Genomic DNA, 20,586 nt, shown 5'->3' on the forward strand with positions numbered 1-20,586 from the left:
TCTAAGACTAGCTGCAGATGAGGATGTTCATACTGTTTACTCCAGCATCCTTGAAGGTATGTCGAAAAAAACTCACTGGAAAAAAAACCATGCCTACAAACACGCACTGCCCCGAGAGGGAAGCAGCCTGGGGACCCCCCAGCTCTGCAACAGAGCAACACACCCAGCTCACTGCACCTTCCTGTGCTCCAGGGTCCATATCTTGGGTAAAATCTGGAGAACCAGCAGTCCCCATTGAGGTTAGCTATTATAATCTATAGCAAGCATGAGGCTAAACACTCGGCCTCCCGAAGTGCTGGGACTACAGGCGTGAGCCACCACGCCAGGCCTCCAATATTATTGGAATCATTTTTTAAATTACAGTGGTTAGTATACCATAATGCTAATTCATCATTTACTCATTCAAAATAATGGCAACGATTATGTAGAGAAAAGAAAAAACAGGCCAGGCATGGGGGTTTATGCCTATAATCCCAGCACTTTGGGAGGCTGAGGTGAGAAAATCGCCTGAACCCAGGAGTTTGAGACCAGACTGGGCAACACAGCAAGACCTTGTCTCTACAAAATTTTTAAAAACTGGCTGAGCATGGTGGCATATGCCTGTGGTCCCAGCTACTTGGGAAGCTAAGATAGGAGGATCATTTGACTTCAGGAGGTTGAAGCTACAGTGAGCCATGATCGCACCACTGCACTCCAGCCTAGGCAACAGAATGAGACCCTGAAGAAAAAAAAAAAAGAAAGAAAGAAAAAAGGAAAAAGAAAAAAAATGCTCATGAAGCATTATATTAAAATAGTACAAACAGGTCAGGTGCAGTGGCTCACGCCTGTAATCCCAGCACTTTGGGAGGTCAAGGCAGGCGGATCACCTGAGCTCAGGATTTCGAGACCAGCCTGGCCAACATGATGAAACTCCATCTCTACTAAAAATACAAAAATCAGCCGGGCATGGTAGGGGGTACCTGTAATCCCAGATACTCAGGAGGCTGAGGCAGGAGAATCACTGGAACCCAGAAGGCGGAGGCTGCAGTAAGCCGAGTTTGTGCAACTGCACTCCAGCCCGGGCAACAGAGCGAGACTCCGTCTCAAACAAAATTAAATAAATAAATTAAATAGCACAAATACACACATTTGCTTACTGATATTTGTTCTAATATTTCAAAAGGTTTCATGATTTTCTAAAATGTCATTTTAATTTAATAACAGAATGTTTCAAAAGAGCATGATGTTTACAGCTCCTCCCAACAGAACATCTGACTCAGAAACCTGTACTTGCAGTTCTTCTTAAAATAAAAGGAACACTATGTATTGCAAGATATTTAATGTGTATCTGTACCACCTATAATTTATTCCATAAATTACTGTAATTTTTGATTAACAAAAGGAACTAAATCCGAAATACAGATATGACAGACTATAAAAAAGTCATCATTAACAGTGAGTAAATAAAATATAAAACAACTTGACCATAACACAGCAAAGGAATACGAGGGGGCACGGTGGCTCACGCTTGTAATCCCAGCAGTTTGGGAGGCCAAGACGGGTGGATCATTTGAGGTCAGGAGTGCGAGACCAGCCTGGCCAACATGGTGAAACCCTATCTCTACCAAAAATATAAAAAATTAGCCGGATATAGTGGCATGTGCCTGTAATCCCAGCTACTTGGGAGGCTGAGGCAGGAGAATCGCTTGAACCTGGGAGGTGGAGGTTGTGGTTAGGCGAGATCGTGCCACTGCACTCCAGTCTGGGCAACACAGTGAGACTCCATCTTAAAAAAAAAAAAAAAAAAAAAAGGAGAGAGACAAAGCATTGACAAAAGAAACAACCAGGAAAAAAATATAAACCTTTGCAAGGTCAAGGGAAGTTCAGGGTCCAGGGAAGCAGTCCAGGATCATGTTAAGATTTCTGGTATTTATTTTATTATATTAGATATTTGTACTTCATTCTGAACCTTAGTATTCTGTTTCACTGCATCCTTTCTGTCACTAAAGAAATCTTTAATGAATGGTCCAGCAGAAACTGTCATCTAATTTAGGGCTCCAGTGCAGGGTTTCTCACTCTCAGCACTATAGACATTTTGGGCCAGGTCATTCTTCGTTGGGGAGCTGTCCTGTATATTGTAGGAGGCTTAGCTGCCTCCCTGGCCTCTTCTCTCTAGATACCAGTAGCAACCCCTTAGCCACAATCCCTGAGACAACCAAAAGTGTCTCCAGACACTGATAAATGTGGCTGGAGTAGGGAGTAAAACTGTCCCTAGTTGAGAACCACTGTGCTAATGTCAACAGATGAAGATTCATCTCAGTTTATTGGCATATTGTTGTTTTAAACCAATGGGTTGATCTTAAGGCATTTATCTCTTCCTAACTTTTAAACCTATCCAAGGCCATATGCTACACATTTATAGTTTAGAAAGAACTAAATTGAGACATTTTCAAACACCTTCCTGCCCAAGCGCCCTGGCTGCTCTCTATTGAATGCTTGTCCCAGGCAGGTCCTAATCATCCCTCAAGTCTTGTTAAGGCCTTAACTGCGAAGTCCCTTGGGAAGCTTCTTCCTGACCCCAGAGCATGAGCATATCAGAAATCCTATTATATGCTCTCATAGCACGTTCTACTCTTACTTTGTGGCAACTACCATAATTGCAATTAAATAATCACTTTTGTCATTATTACTTAATGTCTCCTCCATTTCAGCAGAAGCCATAGTAATCTTGTTGGCTCATGTATCCCCAGGGCATTAAAAGAACTGTTGTGGCTGGGCTCGGTGGCTCACGCCTGTAATCCCAGCACTTTGGGAGGCCAAGGCGGGTAGATCACGGTGGTCTGAGGAGTTTGAGACCAGCCCGACCAATATGGTGAAACCCCATCTCTACGAAAAATACAAAAAATTAGCTGGGCATGGTGGCGGGCACCTGTAATCTCAGCTACTGAGGGAGGAGAATCGCTTGAACCCGGGGGGCGGAGGTTTCAGGGAGTCGAGATCGCACCACTTCACTCGGGCCTGGACCAAAGGGTGAAACTCCGTCTCAAAAAAAAAAAAAATGTTATCACTGGCCAACGTGATTACTTTATTACTAGTAACAAATTTTTCCGCACTTCACATGCAATCGAAGTACAATGATACAGACCATGGCTTAAAGATAAATCCCTTAAGGCAAAATCATGACTAAGAATAGACTTTGAGCATCCATTTTTCTCTTTGGTTACCAACAAAACCTATTTATGAAAAGACGATAATGGTGGCAAGAGGAACAATAAGGTTTGCTTCATTAGATAGCAATGAATGAGCTGAGGAAAAGAATGGATGTAACTGGGGACATCTTTCCATTTTTTTGACCTACTTACAAGCACTAATTTTTTTTTTTTTTTTTTCTTTTTGAGGTGGAGTTTTGCTCTTGTCACCCAGGCTGGAGTGCAATGGCGAGATCTCGGCTCACTGCAACCTCCACCTCCTGGGTTCAAGCAATTCTCGTGCTTCAGACCCCCAAGTAGCTGGGGTTATGGGTACCCGTCACCACGCCCAGCTAGTTTTTATATTTTTAGTAGAGAAGGGGTTTCACCATGTTGACCAGCCTGATCGCGAACTCCTTAGCTCAGGTGATCCATCTGCCTAGGCTTCCCAAAGTGCTGGGATTACAGGCGTGAGCCACCATGCCCGACTGATAAGTACTAATTTTAATACCATTTATTCCACAGAGCATACACCATATTATATTACTTACTTGTTTTTTAAATGTCTGATACCCTGAAATATATTTAAATTCCTCAAAGGGATGCATATTCCTTTGAATATGGGTCCACAGATGAGTTTCAGAGTGTCTGAAGGACCCTTGACATTTTACGTAGAGACCTAGAAACACTTTCTAGGAACAGGGTCTGTAACTTTTTTTCTTTTTTTTTTTCTTTTTGAGACGGAGTCTTGCTCTGTCGCCCAGGTTGGAGCACAGGTGCAAAATCTCGGCTCACTGCAACCTCCGCCTCCCAGGTTCAAGCGTTTCTCCTGCCTCAGCCTCCTGAGTAGCTGGGATTACAGCCACATGCCACCACGCCTGGCTAATTTTTGTATTTTTAGTAGAGATGGGGTTTCGCCATGTTGGTCAGGCTGGTCTCAAACTCCTCACTTTGTGATCCGCCTGCCTCGGCCTCCCAAAGTCCTGGGATTACAGGCATGAGCCACCGTGCCCAGCTGGGGTCCATAACTTTTATATGATTCTCAAAGGTATGAGTTTAAGACCCATAGTCTTATATGGTTTTATTTAATTTTAATCTTCTAGGGATATTCCCACTGTGTTTGGTCCATCTTTTAGGAAGAAAAAGAATAAAGTTTTGCTTACTGATTTCCTCTCCTGTTTCAGTTCCTGAACATAGCGTGCCAAGTCCACAATGATCTGTGATGCCATGTTCTCGGAGATAACTTCATGCTGCCCTGCGTAATCATTCATTTCGTTCAGGTTGGAAATGAAAGCTTTACATGACGTATACCTATGGAACAGAACACACGCCACTCTGTTTCACACAAGGCCACATTCATTCATATTCTGCTTTACACCAAGAAAATATTAATTAAAATCAGGTTAATTGGCATCCACCTCCCATAGGATCCTGAGTATTCATTACACATCAAGTGTTCTCAACAAAATGGCTCAGAATTAATTACAATTGAAACACTTTTCATTTTGCAAAACTGAACCGCTCCGCATAATGTAATATTTGGCTTCATTGATACTTAGTCAAGATATAATCCAAAATTCATATACATGCTATATGTACTAATGTAAAGGATATTTAGATATACATTAGAGATGTAATATTTGAGTGGTCTGTGTTAAGATGCCTTAATTGCTGACTGAAATTGACATATTTCTTGGATGAATGACTAGCATGACAGGGACTCCTGACAGTGCCAAACCAAATCAACTCTAGAATGCAGATTCCATACTTCCTGTTTTTGCTTAATTACATTCTAAAGTTTTCCTAATTACTTTAATTGAAACAATCTGGCATAGGTCCAGTGACTCCATATAAGAAAAGTTAATTATGTTTTTATTGTTCTCTCCTCCAATTTAAAAACTGACACAAAATGAATGGGAAATGCAACTTATTTTTATAGACATGTATTTCTCCTTTCCGTGTGTAGTCATCAATGGCATGTGTCTATTACAAGACAATTTTCAATGGTAAACATACTTGTATTCTTCTTCCTCCTTCGAGTTCTTTTTAGGTTGGTACTTCTTTGAAAGATTCCTGAAATAAAAATGCAGACATGTCAGCTTTATATAGAAAGAGAATTAAGAAATCAGGAATGAAAGATAACATTAGTGCTTTTGTTACAAGTTTAAAACAAACAAAAAAAGTCCACAGCTGAAATCCATTTCCTTCAATCTTTCAACATGTGTGATGAAGCTACTGTTATTAAGAACGTGCACAGCTTTTCATCTTTTGTCTCAAAGCAGAGCAAATAAGAACAGAATTATTTAATTGGAGAGGACAGACCATGTGTAAATATGCAGTGGCTTTCTTTTTTTTTGAGACGGAGTCTCATTCTGTTGCCCAGGCTGGAATGCGGTAGCGTGATCTCAGCTCATTGCAACTTCTGCCTCCCGGGTTCAAGCGATTCTCCTGCCTCAGCCTCCCAAGTAGCTGGGACTACAGGTGCACGCCACCACATCTGGCTAATTTTTTTTGTATTTTTAGTAGAGATGGGGTGTCATCATGTTGGTCAGGCTAGTCTCGAACTCCAGACCTCAAATGATCTGCCTGCCTTGGCCTCCCAAAGTGCTGGGATCACAGGTGTGAGCCACGGTGCCCGGCTGTGCAGTGGCTTTCATTTGTAGCACTGAGCTGTTTTTCTTCTCAGGCCACCATTCTCTCGTGGTCATCCTGAGTTGGGGCATTATTTCTTCAAATCCAAGGAAAACTGTGTCCAAATGTTTAAAAATCAGAGTGCCGGCCGGGCACAGTGGCTCACGCCTGTAATCCCAGTACTTTGGAGGCCGTGGCAGACAGATCACCTGAGGTTGGAAGTTCGAGACTGGCCTGACCAACATGGAGAAACCCCGTCCCTACTAAAAAATACAAAATTAGCTGGGCATGGTGGCGCATGCCTGTAATCCCAGCTACTCAGGAGGCTGAGGCAGAAGAATCGCTTGAACCCGGGAGGAGGAGGTTTCGGTGAGCCGAGATCGCACCATTGCACTCCAGCCTGGGCAACAAGAGCGAAACTCCATCTCCAAAAAAAAAAAAAAAATCAGAGTGCCAAGGGCATGTTTCTAAGGCTGTGTGGCTGCTCTACCAGCGAGCGCATGAAAACCACCTGTGAATAAATCTTCTTGAAGGAAGTCAAGACAATATTTTGGGGGTGTTGATGCTAAGACATTTAACTAGAAAAACTTTTAACCTGCCTAGCAGGTTTGCATTGAACACATTCAGATTAGCCAAAATCATCCTAGTTTCCCTTCCTAATCTCATCTCCATGTTAAGAATCTAAATATTTTTCTTTATATTCACAAATAGACACAAAAACTAAGAGGTAATCACAGAAAAAAAAAAAAAAAAAAACCCTCACTAACACTGGTTCTACTGACTGATTTCTCCTGGGTCCTGACTTTAGGTGACTATAGTTAGAGAAATAGCCATAGCAGCCAGGCACGGTGGCTCATGCCTGTAATCCCAGCACTTTGGGAGGCTGAGGCGGGTGGATCACGAGGTCAGGAGATCGAGACCATCCTGGCTAACATGGTGAAACCCCGTCTCTACTAAAAATACAAAAAATTAGCTGGGCATGGTGGCAGGCGCCTGTAGTCCCAGCTACTCGGGAGGCTGAGGTAGGAGAATGGCATGAATCCAGGAGGCGGAGCTTGCAGTGAGCTGAGATCGCGCCACTGCACTCCAGCCTGGGCAACAGAGCGAGACTCCGTCTCAAAAAAAAAAAAAAAAAGAGAAATAGCCATAGCATGTTTTCTTGTTTGTTTGTTTGAGACAGAGTTTCACTCTTGTTTCCCAGGCTGGAGTGCAGTGGCATGATCTTGGCTCACTACAACCTCCACCTCCTGGGTTCAAGTGATTCTCCTGCCTCGCCTCCCGAGTACCTGGGATTGCAGGCATACACCACCACGCCCAGATAATTTTTGTGCTTTTTAGTAGAGACGGGGTTTCACCACGTTGGCCAGGCTGGCCTCAAACTCCTGAGCTCAGGTGATCTGCCCGCCTCGGCCCCCCAAAGTGCCACTGCACCCGGCCAAGAAATAGCGAGAGCATGCTGAGCAGTAATCCACAGTAGGAACTCCATGTGTCAGCATCTCAGTCCTCACTTCCTTGTTAATTCCCTGTTGCTATTCCTCTTTATTATTTCACATGTTACTTTTATTTCTTCTACTTCCCCCAAATCTACAGATGTGCCTAGAAAAATATGTGATAATCAATTTACAATTTTGATCATGGTATGTTTTGCATACCAAGTGACATGTGGTTTCATCTGTAACAAATGCTACTAGATGACGGGAGAGGCCACCGGCTTCAGTACAAAGGGCATTGCTCTGGGAATCAAGAGACCATGTGCCCGGACAGCATGACCTCAGCAAATGAGCCAGTCTGTGCTTCCCATTCCTAATGTGTACGTCAGCAGGGGTTGGACGACATGACCTCCATTGTCCTTCTTGTTTTGAAATTCTGTGGGACTAGATAACATCCAGTAGAATATTAACTGCTGCAATTATTCAAAAAATGGAGGCATGTATATATAATAGTTTAAAAGTTATAATTAGACCGACTGATGAAAGAATGTAGTTAATTCAAAACTGAGATCATGTTGGCATACACGTCAACATATCAACTATGACATGCTTTCTCTGCTGATACTGAGGATACATAGCAGAGTTTAATAATTCTAGATGCAAAATAATGTGAAAAAGCAATTATTTCCTTAAAGAATGTCCCTTGTAGAAAAAACAATGCAAAAAAGAGAAATATTTTATGTTAAAAGCACAGTACAGGTCTTTGAGTTGGATTATGATCACAATCACTTCTTAAAAACACCATCACAAGGATCAAGAATGAAAGGGGGCCGGGCGCGGTGGCTCATGCCTGTAATCCCAGCACTTTGGGAGGCCAAGGTGGGCAGATCACAAGGTCAGGAGTTCGAGACCAGCCTGACCAACATGGTGAAATCCTGTCTCTACTAAAAATACAAAAATTAGCTGGGCATGGTGGCGCATGCCTGTAATCCAAACTACTTGGGAGGCTGGGGCAGGGGAATGGCTTGAACCTGGGAGGCAGAGGTTGCAGTGAGCTGAGACTGTGCCACTGCACTCCAGCCTGGGCAACAGAGCGAGACTCCATCTCAAAAAAAGAAAAAAGAAAGAAAGAAAAAAAGAAAGGGAAATGTGCGCAAAACAGATGACTACATAATCAATGGGTTATTTTCCAAATATATTGAGAGCAGCACATATGGGTGATTAGAGTATTGGAAAAACGTAGTGGCTGCATGTGAGATATTTCTAGTGCGTGGTTTATTTTACAATTCATTTTTATTTTTTATTTTAATTTTTTTAGAGACAGGGTCTTGTTCTGTCACCCGGACTAGAGTGCAGTGGCATGATCATGGCTCACTGCAAGCCTCGAACTCCTGGGCCCCAGGGATCTTCCCACCTTAGCCTCCCAAGTAGCTAGGACTACAGGTGCACACCACCATGCCCAGCTCATTTTTATTATTTTCTGTAGAGACAGAGTCTTGCCATGTTGCTGAGGCTGGTCACAAACTCCTAGCCTCAAGCAGTCCTCTCACCTCAGCCTCCCAAAGTGCTGGAATTACAGGCATGAGCCACTGTGCCCAGACTACTGCATGATTTTAAATATTAATCATTTCTTCTGTTACCTGTAACTTACAAATTGAAAATACCACTTCTAAATTCACACCTCATATAAAAATTATTCCAAAATGTTAAATCCACATTTTCTTTGTAGCCTCCTTTCAGTCCTTAGCAGCCATAAAAATCATGTAAGTTTTATATCTAGTTGAAGGAAGCCTTACGTGACTCTGAATCTATTGATCCAGGTAAACCAGTATTCTTTATAGTTCTCTTTTACCAGTCAAATACTAAACAGGATTAAATTAGATCCCTTGTAGGTGATATACTGAAAAGACCATCGAGTTCTGATGAATGGGAATCACTTTGACAATACTGGCATATATAGCATTCAAAATGCTTCTTAAAAGCACTAATAAATAATTCACTCTATAAATACCAGCATAAACCAAGAAGCTAAAGAGATCTCAAAGTGAACTTCATTTCAAAGGATATTTATCTCAAGAACTGCTACAAAAAAAAGATCAACTTTCCATTGCTGTTCTCTTGGGACAAGGTTTTTGCCCTATTTGTATTACCGTTATTTAAAAAATGAACACGGTTCGTTCAGGCGCGGTGGCTCATGCCTGTAATCCCAGCACTTTGGGAGGCCGAGGCAGGTGGATCGGGAGTTCGAGACCAGCCTGGCCAACATGGTGAAACCCCATCTCTACTAAAAATGCAAAAATTAGCTGGGAGTGGTGGCACATACCTGAAGCCCCAGCTACTTGGGAGGGTGAGGCAGGAGAATCGCTTAAACCTGGGAGGCGGAGGTTGCAGTGAGCCGAGATCATGCCACTGCACTCCAGCCTGGGTGACAGAGCAAGACTTCGTCTCAAAACAAAACAATCAAATAAAAAAACCCACAACAACAACAACAAAAATGAACAAGCAAATAAACCACTTAAAAAAACTTTTGATTTATGGGGTCTTTCTGAGAAATCTGATGTGTTTTCAGGTAGAAAATCTCGACTTGTTTTTCAGGTAGCCTGACTAAAAGGTAAAAGAAAAAATAAACATTCTTTTATAAGGATGGTGGATTTAGACCTGGCTGATTTGAAGAACCACAGGAAGGCTTTAAAAATGACTTACTCGGCCCTATTCCAGAGCCTCTGCAACAGAAGGTCTAGGGTGGGGCCCAAGAATGTTTTGTGTTTTTTTCACTCTTATTTTTTTAAAGCTCACCACAAGATTTCTGGATCAAGATGGCAGAATAAAATCCAGCCAGAGAATTGTGCTTTCCCAACAACAAAAGGTGAAAAAATAAAAGCCAGGGAAAATTTTAACAGCAGAAAATAAAAAAAATAAAAAAAATGAAGAAAGGAGTCTAATCTCAGTCCATACACTTTAGAAAATGATGACCAAGAAGAGCAACAGAAAATTCTGGGACAGCTTAGAATGGGTGCTGACTCCTTCCTCCCCATCACAGGAAGGGAAATACGTCCACAAACCCTGAAAATCAGCCCAGACAGAAGTAAACTGGGAGGCAAGCGCTCAGGGAATAGTGACAGAAAAATTCTGAGAGGAAGACATCTATGCTGACCACCCAAGGCCTTGGGCAGGAGCCGGGGCTCACCCCCCGGAGGTCCACTTTCCAGACCTCCAGGCTGAGTGCCCTGGGGGTTCGCCCCAAACCCAGGGATTCCACAGGATTAGGGATGTGGGTTCGCTGTGTCCCCACCCAAATCTCAACTTGAATTGTATCTCCCAGAATTCCCACATGCAGTGGAAGGGACCCAGGGGGAAGTAATTGAATCATGGGGGGGGCCGGTCTTTCCCGTGCTATTCTCGTGATAGTGAATAAGTCTCACAAGATCTGACAGGTTTATCAGGGGTTTCCGATTTTGCTTCTTCCTCATTTTCCCTTGCCGCTGCCATGTAAGAAGTGCCTTTCACCCCCAGCCATGATTCTGAGGCCTCCCCAGCCATGTGGAACTGTAAGTCAAATTAAACTTCTTTTTCTTCCCAGTCTCGGGTATGTCTTTATCAGCAGCGTGAAAATGGACTAATACAATTAGGGCAATCTTTGACCTAATGGCGTAAACCCCATAACAGAACCTCTAACAAAGTTTCAGAAGAAATGACAGAGCTCAGAGTCTCGAAGCCAGGCCCTTTCGCGACCCTGACTCTATAAACACCTGTCCTCGGCCTTCAGCAAACCAAGCAGAACATATAATACCCCAGCCTCAAGTGGAACTCAAAGGGAAAGACCAATGGTACCAGAAATGGAACGAAGTGTGGCAAGGAACACTCACCTACACTCCATCAGAGCAGACAGGGCACTGGTGCGGCTCACGTTAGAAACAAACACACGCCAGGTGTTGGCCTAAGACCTTTATGCTCTTTATTACCTTATTAAGCCCACTCAGCAACCTTATAAGGTGAGAATGATGATGATGATGATGATTCACACTTTACAGATGAAAATCATGAAACAAGGAGAGTAATTTAACTCAATTCATATGGCTGTTAAGTGGAAGAACCAGGATTACATCCCAGGCATTGGGACTCTTGAGTCTGAACTCAACCACTTCACTAAACTGCCCCTATTAAATATAAGCAACATGGCCAGGGGTGGTGGCCTGTAATCTCAGCAGTTTGGGAGGCCGAGGTGGGCAGGTCAACTGGGGTCAGGAGTTTGAGACAAGCCTGGCCAACATGGCAAGACCCTGTCTCTACTAAAAATACAAAAGCTAGCCAGCCGTGGGCCAGGTGTGGTGGCTCATGCCTATAATCCCAGCACTCTGGGAGGCCGAGGCAGGTGGATCAACTGAGGTTAAGGAGTTTGAGACCAGCCTGACCAACATGGTGAAACCCCGTCTCTACTAAAAATACAAAATCAGCCAGGTGTGGTGGCACATGCCTGTAATCCCAGCTGCTCGGAAGTCTGAGGCAGGAGAATCGCTTCAACCCAGGAGGCGGTGTTGCAGTGAGCCAAGATCATGCCATTGCACTCCAGCCTGGGCAACAAGAACAAAGCTCCATCTCAAAAAAAAAAAAAAAAAAAAAAAAATTCGCCAGGTGTGGTGGTGTGTGCCTGTAATCCCAGCTACTTGGGAGGCTGAGGCAGGAGAATTGCTTGAACCCGGGAGGCTGAGGTTGCAGTGAGCTGAGATCGTGCCACTGCATTCCAGCCTGGGCAACAGAGTGAGACTTTGTCTTAAAAAAAAATTAAATAATAAATATAAGCAAAGTGAAAGATATGACAGGTAATACAGAAGCAAAAGAAAAATCCAAAATCCAGTCTGCAAGAAAACATATAAGGAAAATAAGCAAAAATCACCCTCCTTCAGATTATTTATACTATAGACAAACTTAGTAAAAACACAAAGGCAATAAATCAAGAATCCCAATACTATGGGATAAAATAAAATGGAATGAGAAGGAAGACACAAAGCTGAGGAAATGAACTAAGGACTAAAATATACCACTATAGAACCCATCAATAAATGAGGGTGGATATCAAATTTAATAGAGGAAAGGTCTGAAATAACCATAATGTGAAAACAATCAGAAAAAAAAAGGATCTAAAGATAGGCCGGGCGTGGTGGCTCACGCCTGTAATCCCAGCACTTTGGGAGGCCGAGGTGGGCGGATCACAAGGTCAAGAGATCGAGACCATCCTGGCCAACATGGTGAAACCCCGTCTCTATTAAAAGTGTAAAAATCAGCTGGGCGTGGTGGCGGGCGCCTGTAGTCCCAGCTACTCGGGAGGCTGAGGCAGGAGAACCGCTTGAACCTGGGAGGTGGAGCTTGCAGTGAGCTGAGATCACGCCATTGCACTCCAGCCTGGGTGACAGAGCGAGATGCCGTCTCAAGAAAAAAAATTTTAAAAATAAAAAAATAAAAATAAGAATAAGATGAAACATAAGGATAACTCATATCTCTGAAGTATATGACCCAGTAAGTAGAATAGAAAAAACATTCAGACATAATCAAAGAACTTTCTCCTGAAATAAATGAAGCATAGAATTTACACAGGAAAGAGCACTAAGAAAAACTATCTGATAAAGGATGATCAACTCCAAGGCATTGCTTAGTGAAGTTATCAGACTGCTAAGATGAACTAAAATTATTCATATTTTTACTCAGAAACAGCCATGTTGCCTACAGAGAGAAACATCTGGCTGGCCCCAGACTTTTCCTCCAAAAGACGATGCAGCCACATGGAGAGAGAAAGTGTGACCAGAGACAACCAAGTCAAAGTGCCGTAAAGTATGGTGGCATTTTCAAGCAAGAAAGAACGCAGGGAACACGTCCCAAGCTCTAACGAGGGGGAGAATATTCTTCCTTAATGCCAAGAGTCAAGGAGAGAGGCTGTTGTAGAGAGAAGTGCTGAGATGACTCTACGTTCAAATATAGAACCACGACAAATCAACTGAGGGCCTCGGGTTTCAGAACCCAGTCATATAACTCAACTAGAAGAAGGAGCAAAACATGTATATATTATTTTCCTAATCTTTTATAGCAGTGAGTCAATTGAGCCTGTTTAGAATTTCAACATGGAAGTACACACACACAATAATGACATCCTGTAAGTTTTTCATAATCTTTTTGATAAATTTTACCAAAGTTTAATATTTATTTTTTTGAGACAGAGTCTGTCACCCAGGCTGGAGTGCAGTGGCGTCATCTTGGCTCACTGCAACCTCTGCCTCCTGAGTAGCTGGGATGACAGGAGCGCCCGGCTAATTTTTGTGATTTTAGTAGAGAGACGGGGTTTCACCATGTTGGCCAGGCTGGTCTCAAACTCCCAACATCAGGTCATCTGCCCACCTCGGCCTCCCAAAATGCTGGGATTACAGGTATGAGCCACCGTGCCTGGCCTAAGAGTTTAATATTTAAAGCTTAGCGCATCCCTCAGTTTCACTTTACTGTCGTTTGTACTGTTAAATTTAAATTCATTTCTTTATATATATGATATATACGATATGCAATTTGTTGTATAATATGATTTCTACCTAGTTACCCTCTATATACAATGAGCTCCAATTAAAAACAGACCAAGACTTGAATGGTTCATTTTTTAAAACCATAAATGGCTCAAATGTATCAAAAGATGTTCAACCCCCATGCATACTAAGAGAAATGCAATTTAAGACCTAGATGTACCAGTTGTTAAGTAGCAAATTGACAAAGATCGGTTTGGAAACAGAAAGCAGCAGTGAGGGTGAGGTTGAGCAGGCCCTGTTACTCTGCTAATGGAGTGTCATGGGCCATAGTTTCTGGAAAGGGACTGGAGATCATGCCACTGCACTCCAGCCTGGGTGACAGAAACTGTCTCAAAAATAAATAAAATTAGGTTGTTCAGACTCAGAAAAAAAAATTATATTAGGAATTTCAACCTATACTACCTTGAATAGATAGTGACCTCAGGGGTTGGCAAACTTTTTCTGTAAAGGACCAGAAAGTAAATATTTCAGGGCCAGGTGCGGTGGCTCATGCCTGTAATCCCAGCACTTTGGGAGGCCGAGGCAGGTGGATCACAAGGTCAGGAGTCTAGGACCAGCCTGGCCAATATGGTGAAATCCTGTCTCTACTAAAAATACAAAAATTAGCCAGGCATGGTGGTGTGCGCCTGTAGTCCCAGCTGTTCAGGAGGCTGAGGCAGGAGAATCGCTTGAACCCTGGAGGTGGAGGTTGCAGTGAGCTGAGATTGTACCACTGCACTTCAGCCTGGGTGACAGAGCGAGACTCCATCTCGAAGAGAAAAAAAAAATTCAGACTTGCAGGTAAATGCATCTCTTTTGCAACTACTCAATTGCCAATTGTTTGCAAAAGTGGCCATAGACAATACACATGGGCACGGCAACATTCCAACAAATCTTTATTTACAAAACCAAGTAGTGGATGGATTTGGCCCATGCTAAGACCTGACCTACAGGAATCAAAGTCTCACGTTTATGTCTAAAATAAGTTAGCATTCTCCCCTGCAATGCAGAAAAAAAATATTTAATGATAGTTATCTCTCCCAAAGGCCACAATGATTTTTCAACATCATATTACTATTTCAACCAAGTATCTGTTGAATATTCTGTAGCCACACTGGCCTTTCTATTCCTTCTACATGTTCCCGTCTCAGGACCTTTGCACTCTCTCCCCCCACATCCTTACATGTCTGGCTTCTTTTTGTAATTCACTTCTCAAGTGATGGGTTTTCCCTGACCAGCCTAGCTCAGTAACCACCCCCACTTCAATCTCTATCACATCACTGCGTTTACATATTTGGAGTCATACATGCTATCTTTAAATGCTCGAATTCTTTGCTAATTTGCATGCAGTTCTGTTTTCTGCTGTGAAAGGTGAGCACTCCAGGTTCAGGCACTTCCTGTGTCTCGTTCATTCAAGCATCCCTAGTGATTGAAACTCGGCTGGCACCTTGTTGTTCTACTTTTTGTTGTTAAAATCTCATCAGCTCTCACAGGCCGGTGCAAACACATAATTCCCCATAAAGCAAAGCTGGCTAAATATCTTAGGCCTGTACCCTACCGATTCACTCACAATCTACAAATATTTACTGGGCACCTACTATGTGCCAGGCACTGTTCTGCACTATGACACATTAGTGAGCACAACCCAAAGATCTCCACCCTTAAGGGGCTTGCATTCTAGCTGAGAGGCTGCAGGAGACAATGCGCAGTAAATATAATACCCAGATTTCTCTGGGAAGGTTTGGGGAGATGTTATTCAAATGAGGCAAAATTGTAGGAGAAATAAGTTCAAGAGATCTATTGTACAACATTGTGTCTCCAGTTAATAACAATGTATTGTATACTTGAAAATTGCCAGGCCGGGTGCTCACACCTGTAATCCCAGCACTTTGGGAGGCCTCGGTCAGAGGATCGCTTGAACCTAGAAGTTCAAGACCAGCATGGGCAACATGGTGAAATTCTGTCTCTGCAAAAGATACAAAAATTAGCCGGGTGTGGCAGCGCATTCCTGTGGTCCCAGCTACTTGGGAGGCTGTGGTGGGAGGTTCACTTGAGCCCGGGAGGTGAGCCAAGATCGTGCCACTGCACTCCACCCAGGGTGACAGAGTGAGACCCTGTCTCAAGAAAGAGGGAAGGGGAGGGGAGGGGAGGGGTTGCTAAATTGCTAGAAGAGTAGATTTTAATGTTCTTCCCACAAAAAAAATATTAAGTTTGAGTAGTAATGCATATGTTAATTAGCCTGATTTGGGCATTCTGCAGCGTATACATATTTCAAGACATCATGTATACCATAAATATATACAATTTTATATACAAATAATATAGAAATACATATTTTGTCAATTTTCAAAACTAAACAAGAAAACTATATAAAATGGTAGAAAGTTACCAGTAATATAGGAAAACTGAAAAAGCAAAGCAGGCTAAGTGGGCTAAGGGACGAGGTGGGCCTCACTGAGCAGAAACTGGAAGCAGGAGAGGGAGTCAGCCACTTGGAGCCTGGGGAAGAACACATAGGTGATATCTACATGGAAGGGCTAGCGCAATAGCTCTCGGGTGAGGGGATGCCTGGCATGTACAAAAAACAGGAAGGAGGCCTCTGTATGGTTACAGCAGAGAGGAGGAGGAAGAGAGTTAAAACAGATGATGTCAGAAAGGTGTGGGAACCAGATTATACAAGGTTTTGGAGGACTTTCACCGTAAGGTTTTTGGATTTACTCTGAATGAAATGGGGACGCACTGGAATTTTGAACAGAGGAATACTGTAATCTGGCTGCTCTGTAGAAATCAGGGAATAGGGGATAGAGGTAGAATAAGGGAAACTAGTTAGTAGACTCATCATAACCAGGCAAAAGATCATGGACCACGTAGGCCATGTGACATGGACCACAGTGGCAGCAGTGGAGGTGATAACAAGTGTCAGATCCTGGATAAATCTGTAGAGAAGTCAAGATTTCCTGATGGCTTGAGCTGGGGAGTGTGAGTGTGTGAGAAAAGAAGGCAGACAGAGATGATGATGACACCAGGGTTTTTTTTTTTTTTTTTTTGAGATGGAGTCTTGCTCTGTCACCCAGGCTGGAGTGCAGTGGCACAATCTCAGCTTACTGCAACTTCTGCCTCCTGGGTTCAAGGGATTCTCCTGCCTTAGCCTCCTGAGTAGGTAGGATTACAGGCGCCCACCACCACGCCTGGCTAATGTTTTTGTATTTTTAGTAGAGACAGGGTTTCACCATGTTAGTCAGCTGGTCTTGAACTCTTGACCTCCAGTGATCCCCCTGCACCTGGGTGATGCTAGGGTTTTTGACCTAAACCAGGAAGGATGCAGCTACCCTCAGGTGAGTGGAGGAAAATCTAGGTCGTGGAAATGCAGATTTTTTTTTTTTTTGAGATAGGGTCTTGCTCTGTTGCCCAGGCTGGAGTGCAGTAGTGCAATCATGGCTCACTGCAGCCCCAGCGTCTTGGGCTCAAGCATCCGCCCTCCTCAGCCTCTCAAGTAGCTGGGACTACAGGTGTGCGCCACCATGCCTGGCTAATTTTTTAAAATTCTTTTTAGAGGCAGGGTCTCGCTATGTTGCTCAGGCTGGCCTCCAACTCCTGGGCTCAAGTACCCACCTCGGCCTCCTGAAGTGCTAAGATTTTAGGTGTGAGCCACTTCACTTGGCCTAGACATGTGGATTTTTAAGTTGGGGAGATCCGGAGTTCAGTTTCAGACATGTTACATTTCAGATCATTTCAGATGGTTTTTAGACATTTCCTTTTTTTTTTTTTTCTTTGAGATGGCGTCTCACTCTGTCGCCCAGGCTGGAGTGCAGTGGTGTGATCTTGGCTCACGGCAAGCTCTGCCTTCTGGGTTCATGCCATTCTCCTGCCTCAGCCTCCCAAGTAGCTGGGACTACAGGCGCCCGCCACCATTTCCAGCTAATTTTTTGTATTTTTAGTACAGATGGGGTTTCACCGTGTTAGCCAGGATGGTCTCGATCTCCTGACTTCGTGATCCGCCCGCCTCAGCCTCCCAAAGTGCTGGGATTACAGGCATAAGCCACCGCGCCCAGCCAAGTTTTTAGACATTTCTAAGTGGAGACTTTGAGCAAGCTGTTTCTGGAATTCAGGAGAGAGGTCTGGCTTAGAGATCCATATCTGTGAGTCATTGCCATATGGATTATACCTAAAGCCATGAGACAGTTGAGGTCACCAGGAGAGTACAGACTGGGAAGGGAGAAGGACTGAGAAGCAGATGCTGGGCACAGCAATGTGAAGAGGCAGGGGAAGAGCAGGGGCCAGCAAGGGAGACTGTCGTGGGAAGAATACCAGTAGCCCGCTTGAGAGCTCGCACGTAGCCCATTTTCACATGAAAGACAACATTGCATGACTAATAGTGCAGCATTCAAATAATCAACGTGAAACAGACCATGTTCTATTCCTACTTTCAGTTCGAAAAGCCCCTGACGTGTTGACGAGACTGATATGCACACAGGGCACTAGAAACTGATCTGGATTCTCCACTTATAAAAATTATTTCATTGTGTGATGTTTTACATGTTATTCACTCAATAAAAACAAAATCTGGGGCCAGGCACAGTGGCTCACACCTGTAATCCCAGCTTGCTGAAACAACAACAGAAACCCTTATAAGAACACATAGCTCTTTTTTTTTTTTTTTTTTTTTTGAGATGGAGTCTTGCTCTGTTGCCCAGGCTGGAGTGCAGTGGCGCGATCTTGGCTCATTGCAACCTCTGCCTCCTGGGCTCAAGCGATTCTCCTGCCTCAGCCTCCTGAATAGCTGGGATTACAGGCACCCGCCACCATGCCTGGCTCATTTTTGTATTTTTAGTGGAGACGGGGTTTCACCATCTTGACCAGGCTGGTCTCAAACTCCTGACCTCGTGATCCACCTGCCTTGGCCTCCCAAAGTGCTGGGATTACAGGTATGAGCCACTGCGCCCAGCCAAGAACACATATCTTTTATGCAGATGCTCTTTGGATTAAAACTCAATGGTGAGGGAGCTTGAAGAAAATTAAAAAAAAAAAAAAAGAAAAAAGGGCTGGGCACGGTGGCTCACGCCTGTAATCCCAGCACTTTGGGAGACCGAGGCAGGCGGATCACTTGAGGTCAGGAGTTCAAGACCAGCCTGGCCAACATGGTGAAACACTCTCTCTACTAAAAATACAAAAATTAGCCAGGCATGGTGGCACAAGCCTGTAATCCCAGCTACTTGGAAGGCTGAGGCAGGAGAATCACTTGAACCTGGGAGGCGGAGATTGCAGTGAGCTGAGATTGTACCACTGCACTCCAGCCTGGGCGACAGAGTGAGACTGTCTCAAAAAAAAAAAAAAAATTAAAGAAAAAGGAAAGTAAATGTTTCTAAATCAAAATCATCTAGCTCTTTAACAGGCCTTAAAACAATATCCACAAACCAATTCAACTACAACTATACAACATGAAATCATTAAGGACTTTGCATGCCACTTCAAGTTCAAGCTTAGTTCTACCAAGAACTTTTAAATATATTCTATAAAAACACAAATTTCTTGGATAATCTCATCATTAAAAGATGTAAGGAGATCCAAAGTACTTAAAAAAAAAAAAAAAACAGAGACAGGGGGCTCACTATGTTGCCCAGGCTGGTCTTGAAGTCTCTGGGCTCACACTATCCTCCCTCATCAGCCTCCCAAAGTGCTGGGATTGCAGGCATGAGCCACCACACCTGGCCCCAAAGCACTTTTTTTTTTTTTTTTTTGAGAAGGAGTCTTACTCTGTCACCCAGGCTAGAGTGCAGTGGCACAATCTCAGCTCACTGCAACCTCCACCTCCCGGGTTCAAGCAGTTCTCATGTCTCACCCTCCCAAGTAGCTGGGATTACAGGCGCCTGCCACCATGCCCCACTAATTTTTGTATTTTTAGTAGAGGCGGGGTTTCACCATGTTGGCCAGGCGGGTCTCGAACTCCTGACCTCAGGCAATCCGCCCACCTTTGCCTCCCAAAGTGCTGGGATTACAGGCGTGAGCCACTGCGCCCGGCCCGAAGTACTTTTAAAATACTATTCCACATGACCCCTCAACACATTACAGAAGGGAGTGTGAATTAGTACAAGCACACTGGAAATGGCTGAACCCTATCCACCAAAGCTAAGCATATGAGTAGCCTGTGACCTTGCAATTAGATGCCTACGTAGATCCTAGGAAATGTGTTCAGATACACACAAAAAGCCTTGTACAATAATGCTCGTTGGAGCGCTACTCATTATAGCTTAAATTAGAAACAACCAATCACCTAGTCAGAACGGATGAGTTCTGGTGCATTCACAGACCAAAACACTCAACAGCAATGAAAATAAGCAGATCCCACCACATGCTACCACATGGTCAATCTCACAAACGTAATATAGAACAAAAGAAGCCAGATACACAAGAATGCATACCAAATGATTACACTCATGTAAAGTTCAAAAGTGGGCACTACTAATCCACGCGGTTAGAAGTCAGGAGAGTGGTTACCGCTGGGGGGAGAGTGGGGAGCTGGAGGGGGCCAGGGGGCCTGCCAGGCTGGTCTTTCTGTTTCTTGACCTGGGTGCCCGGTTACATGAGTGTGTTCACACTGTCAAAATTCATGGAGCTGCACACTTATGATTTGTGTACTTCTCTGTACATATGTTATTAATATATTTCAATAAAAAGTTTACTGAGAAACAAGCTGCTCCAAAACTCAGCAAATATCTTGTTGAAAAAAAAAACTGGGCCTTAAAGCAGTAATTTAGTTTTTATTTTTAATGTTCTATGAAAATTAATTTTCTGTATGAAAAACAATCACTTCTATTG

General features: G+C 43.6%; 1 protein-coding gene across 38 annotated transcripts in view, besides 4 other annotated features; it reads right to left on the reverse strand.

Annotated features, from left to right (window-relative positions):
* The window catches only part of FNBP1 (formin binding protein 1), a 166,693-nt gene that overhangs the window by 86,948 nt on the left and 59,159 nt on the right, over nucleotides 1-20,586 (reverse strand). For all 38 annotated transcript variants that reach the window (NM_001439055.1, NM_001439054.1, NM_001439053.1 and 35 more), the window contains exons 3-4: nucleotides 5,184-5,240; nucleotides 4,331-4,478 (exon numbers count right to left, since the gene is read on the reverse strand). In NM_001439055.1, the coding sequence (NP_001425984.1) occupies nucleotides 4,331-4,438 (108 nt within the window). In that variant the 5' untranslated portion in view covers nucleotides 4,439-4,478; nucleotides 5,184-5,240. The remainder of the gene's footprint in view (nucleotides 1-4,330; nucleotides 4,479-5,183; nucleotides 5,241-20,586) is intronic.
* Nucleotides 14,837-14,886: an enhancer, noted in NCBI's record as "active region_29133". NCBI's record gives its function as "activates an Ori minimal core promoter by ATAC-STARR-seq in GM12878 lymphoblastoid cells {active_cell/tissue: GM12878}" and the evidence as "EXISTENCE:reporter gene assay evidence [ECO:0000049][PMID:35858748]".
* Nucleotides 15,636-15,930: a silencer, noted in NCBI's record as "tiled region #9235; K562 Repressive non-DNase unmatched - State 7:EnhWF". NCBI's record gives its function as "represses a minimal TATA promoter and a strong SV40 promoter by Sharpr-MPRA in K562 cells {active_cell/tissue: K562}" and the evidence as "EXISTENCE:reporter gene assay evidence [ECO:0000049][PMID:27701403]".
* Nucleotides 18,004-18,053: an enhancer, noted in NCBI's record as "active region_29134". NCBI's record gives its function as "activates an Ori minimal core promoter by ATAC-STARR-seq in GM12878 lymphoblastoid cells {active_cell/tissue: GM12878}" and the evidence as "EXISTENCE:reporter gene assay evidence [ECO:0000049][PMID:35858748]".
* Nucleotides 18,064-18,113: an enhancer, noted in NCBI's record as "active region_29135". NCBI's record gives its function as "activates an Ori minimal core promoter by ATAC-STARR-seq in GM12878 lymphoblastoid cells {active_cell/tissue: GM12878}" and the evidence as "EXISTENCE:reporter gene assay evidence [ECO:0000049][PMID:35858748]".

The sequence above is a fragment of the Homo sapiens genome, chromosome 9 (genome assembly GCF_000001405.40).
Source record: "Homo sapiens chromosome 9, GRCh38.p14 Primary Assembly".
Lineage (NCBI taxonomy): Eukaryota > Metazoa > Chordata > Mammalia > Primates > Hominidae > Homo > Homo sapiens.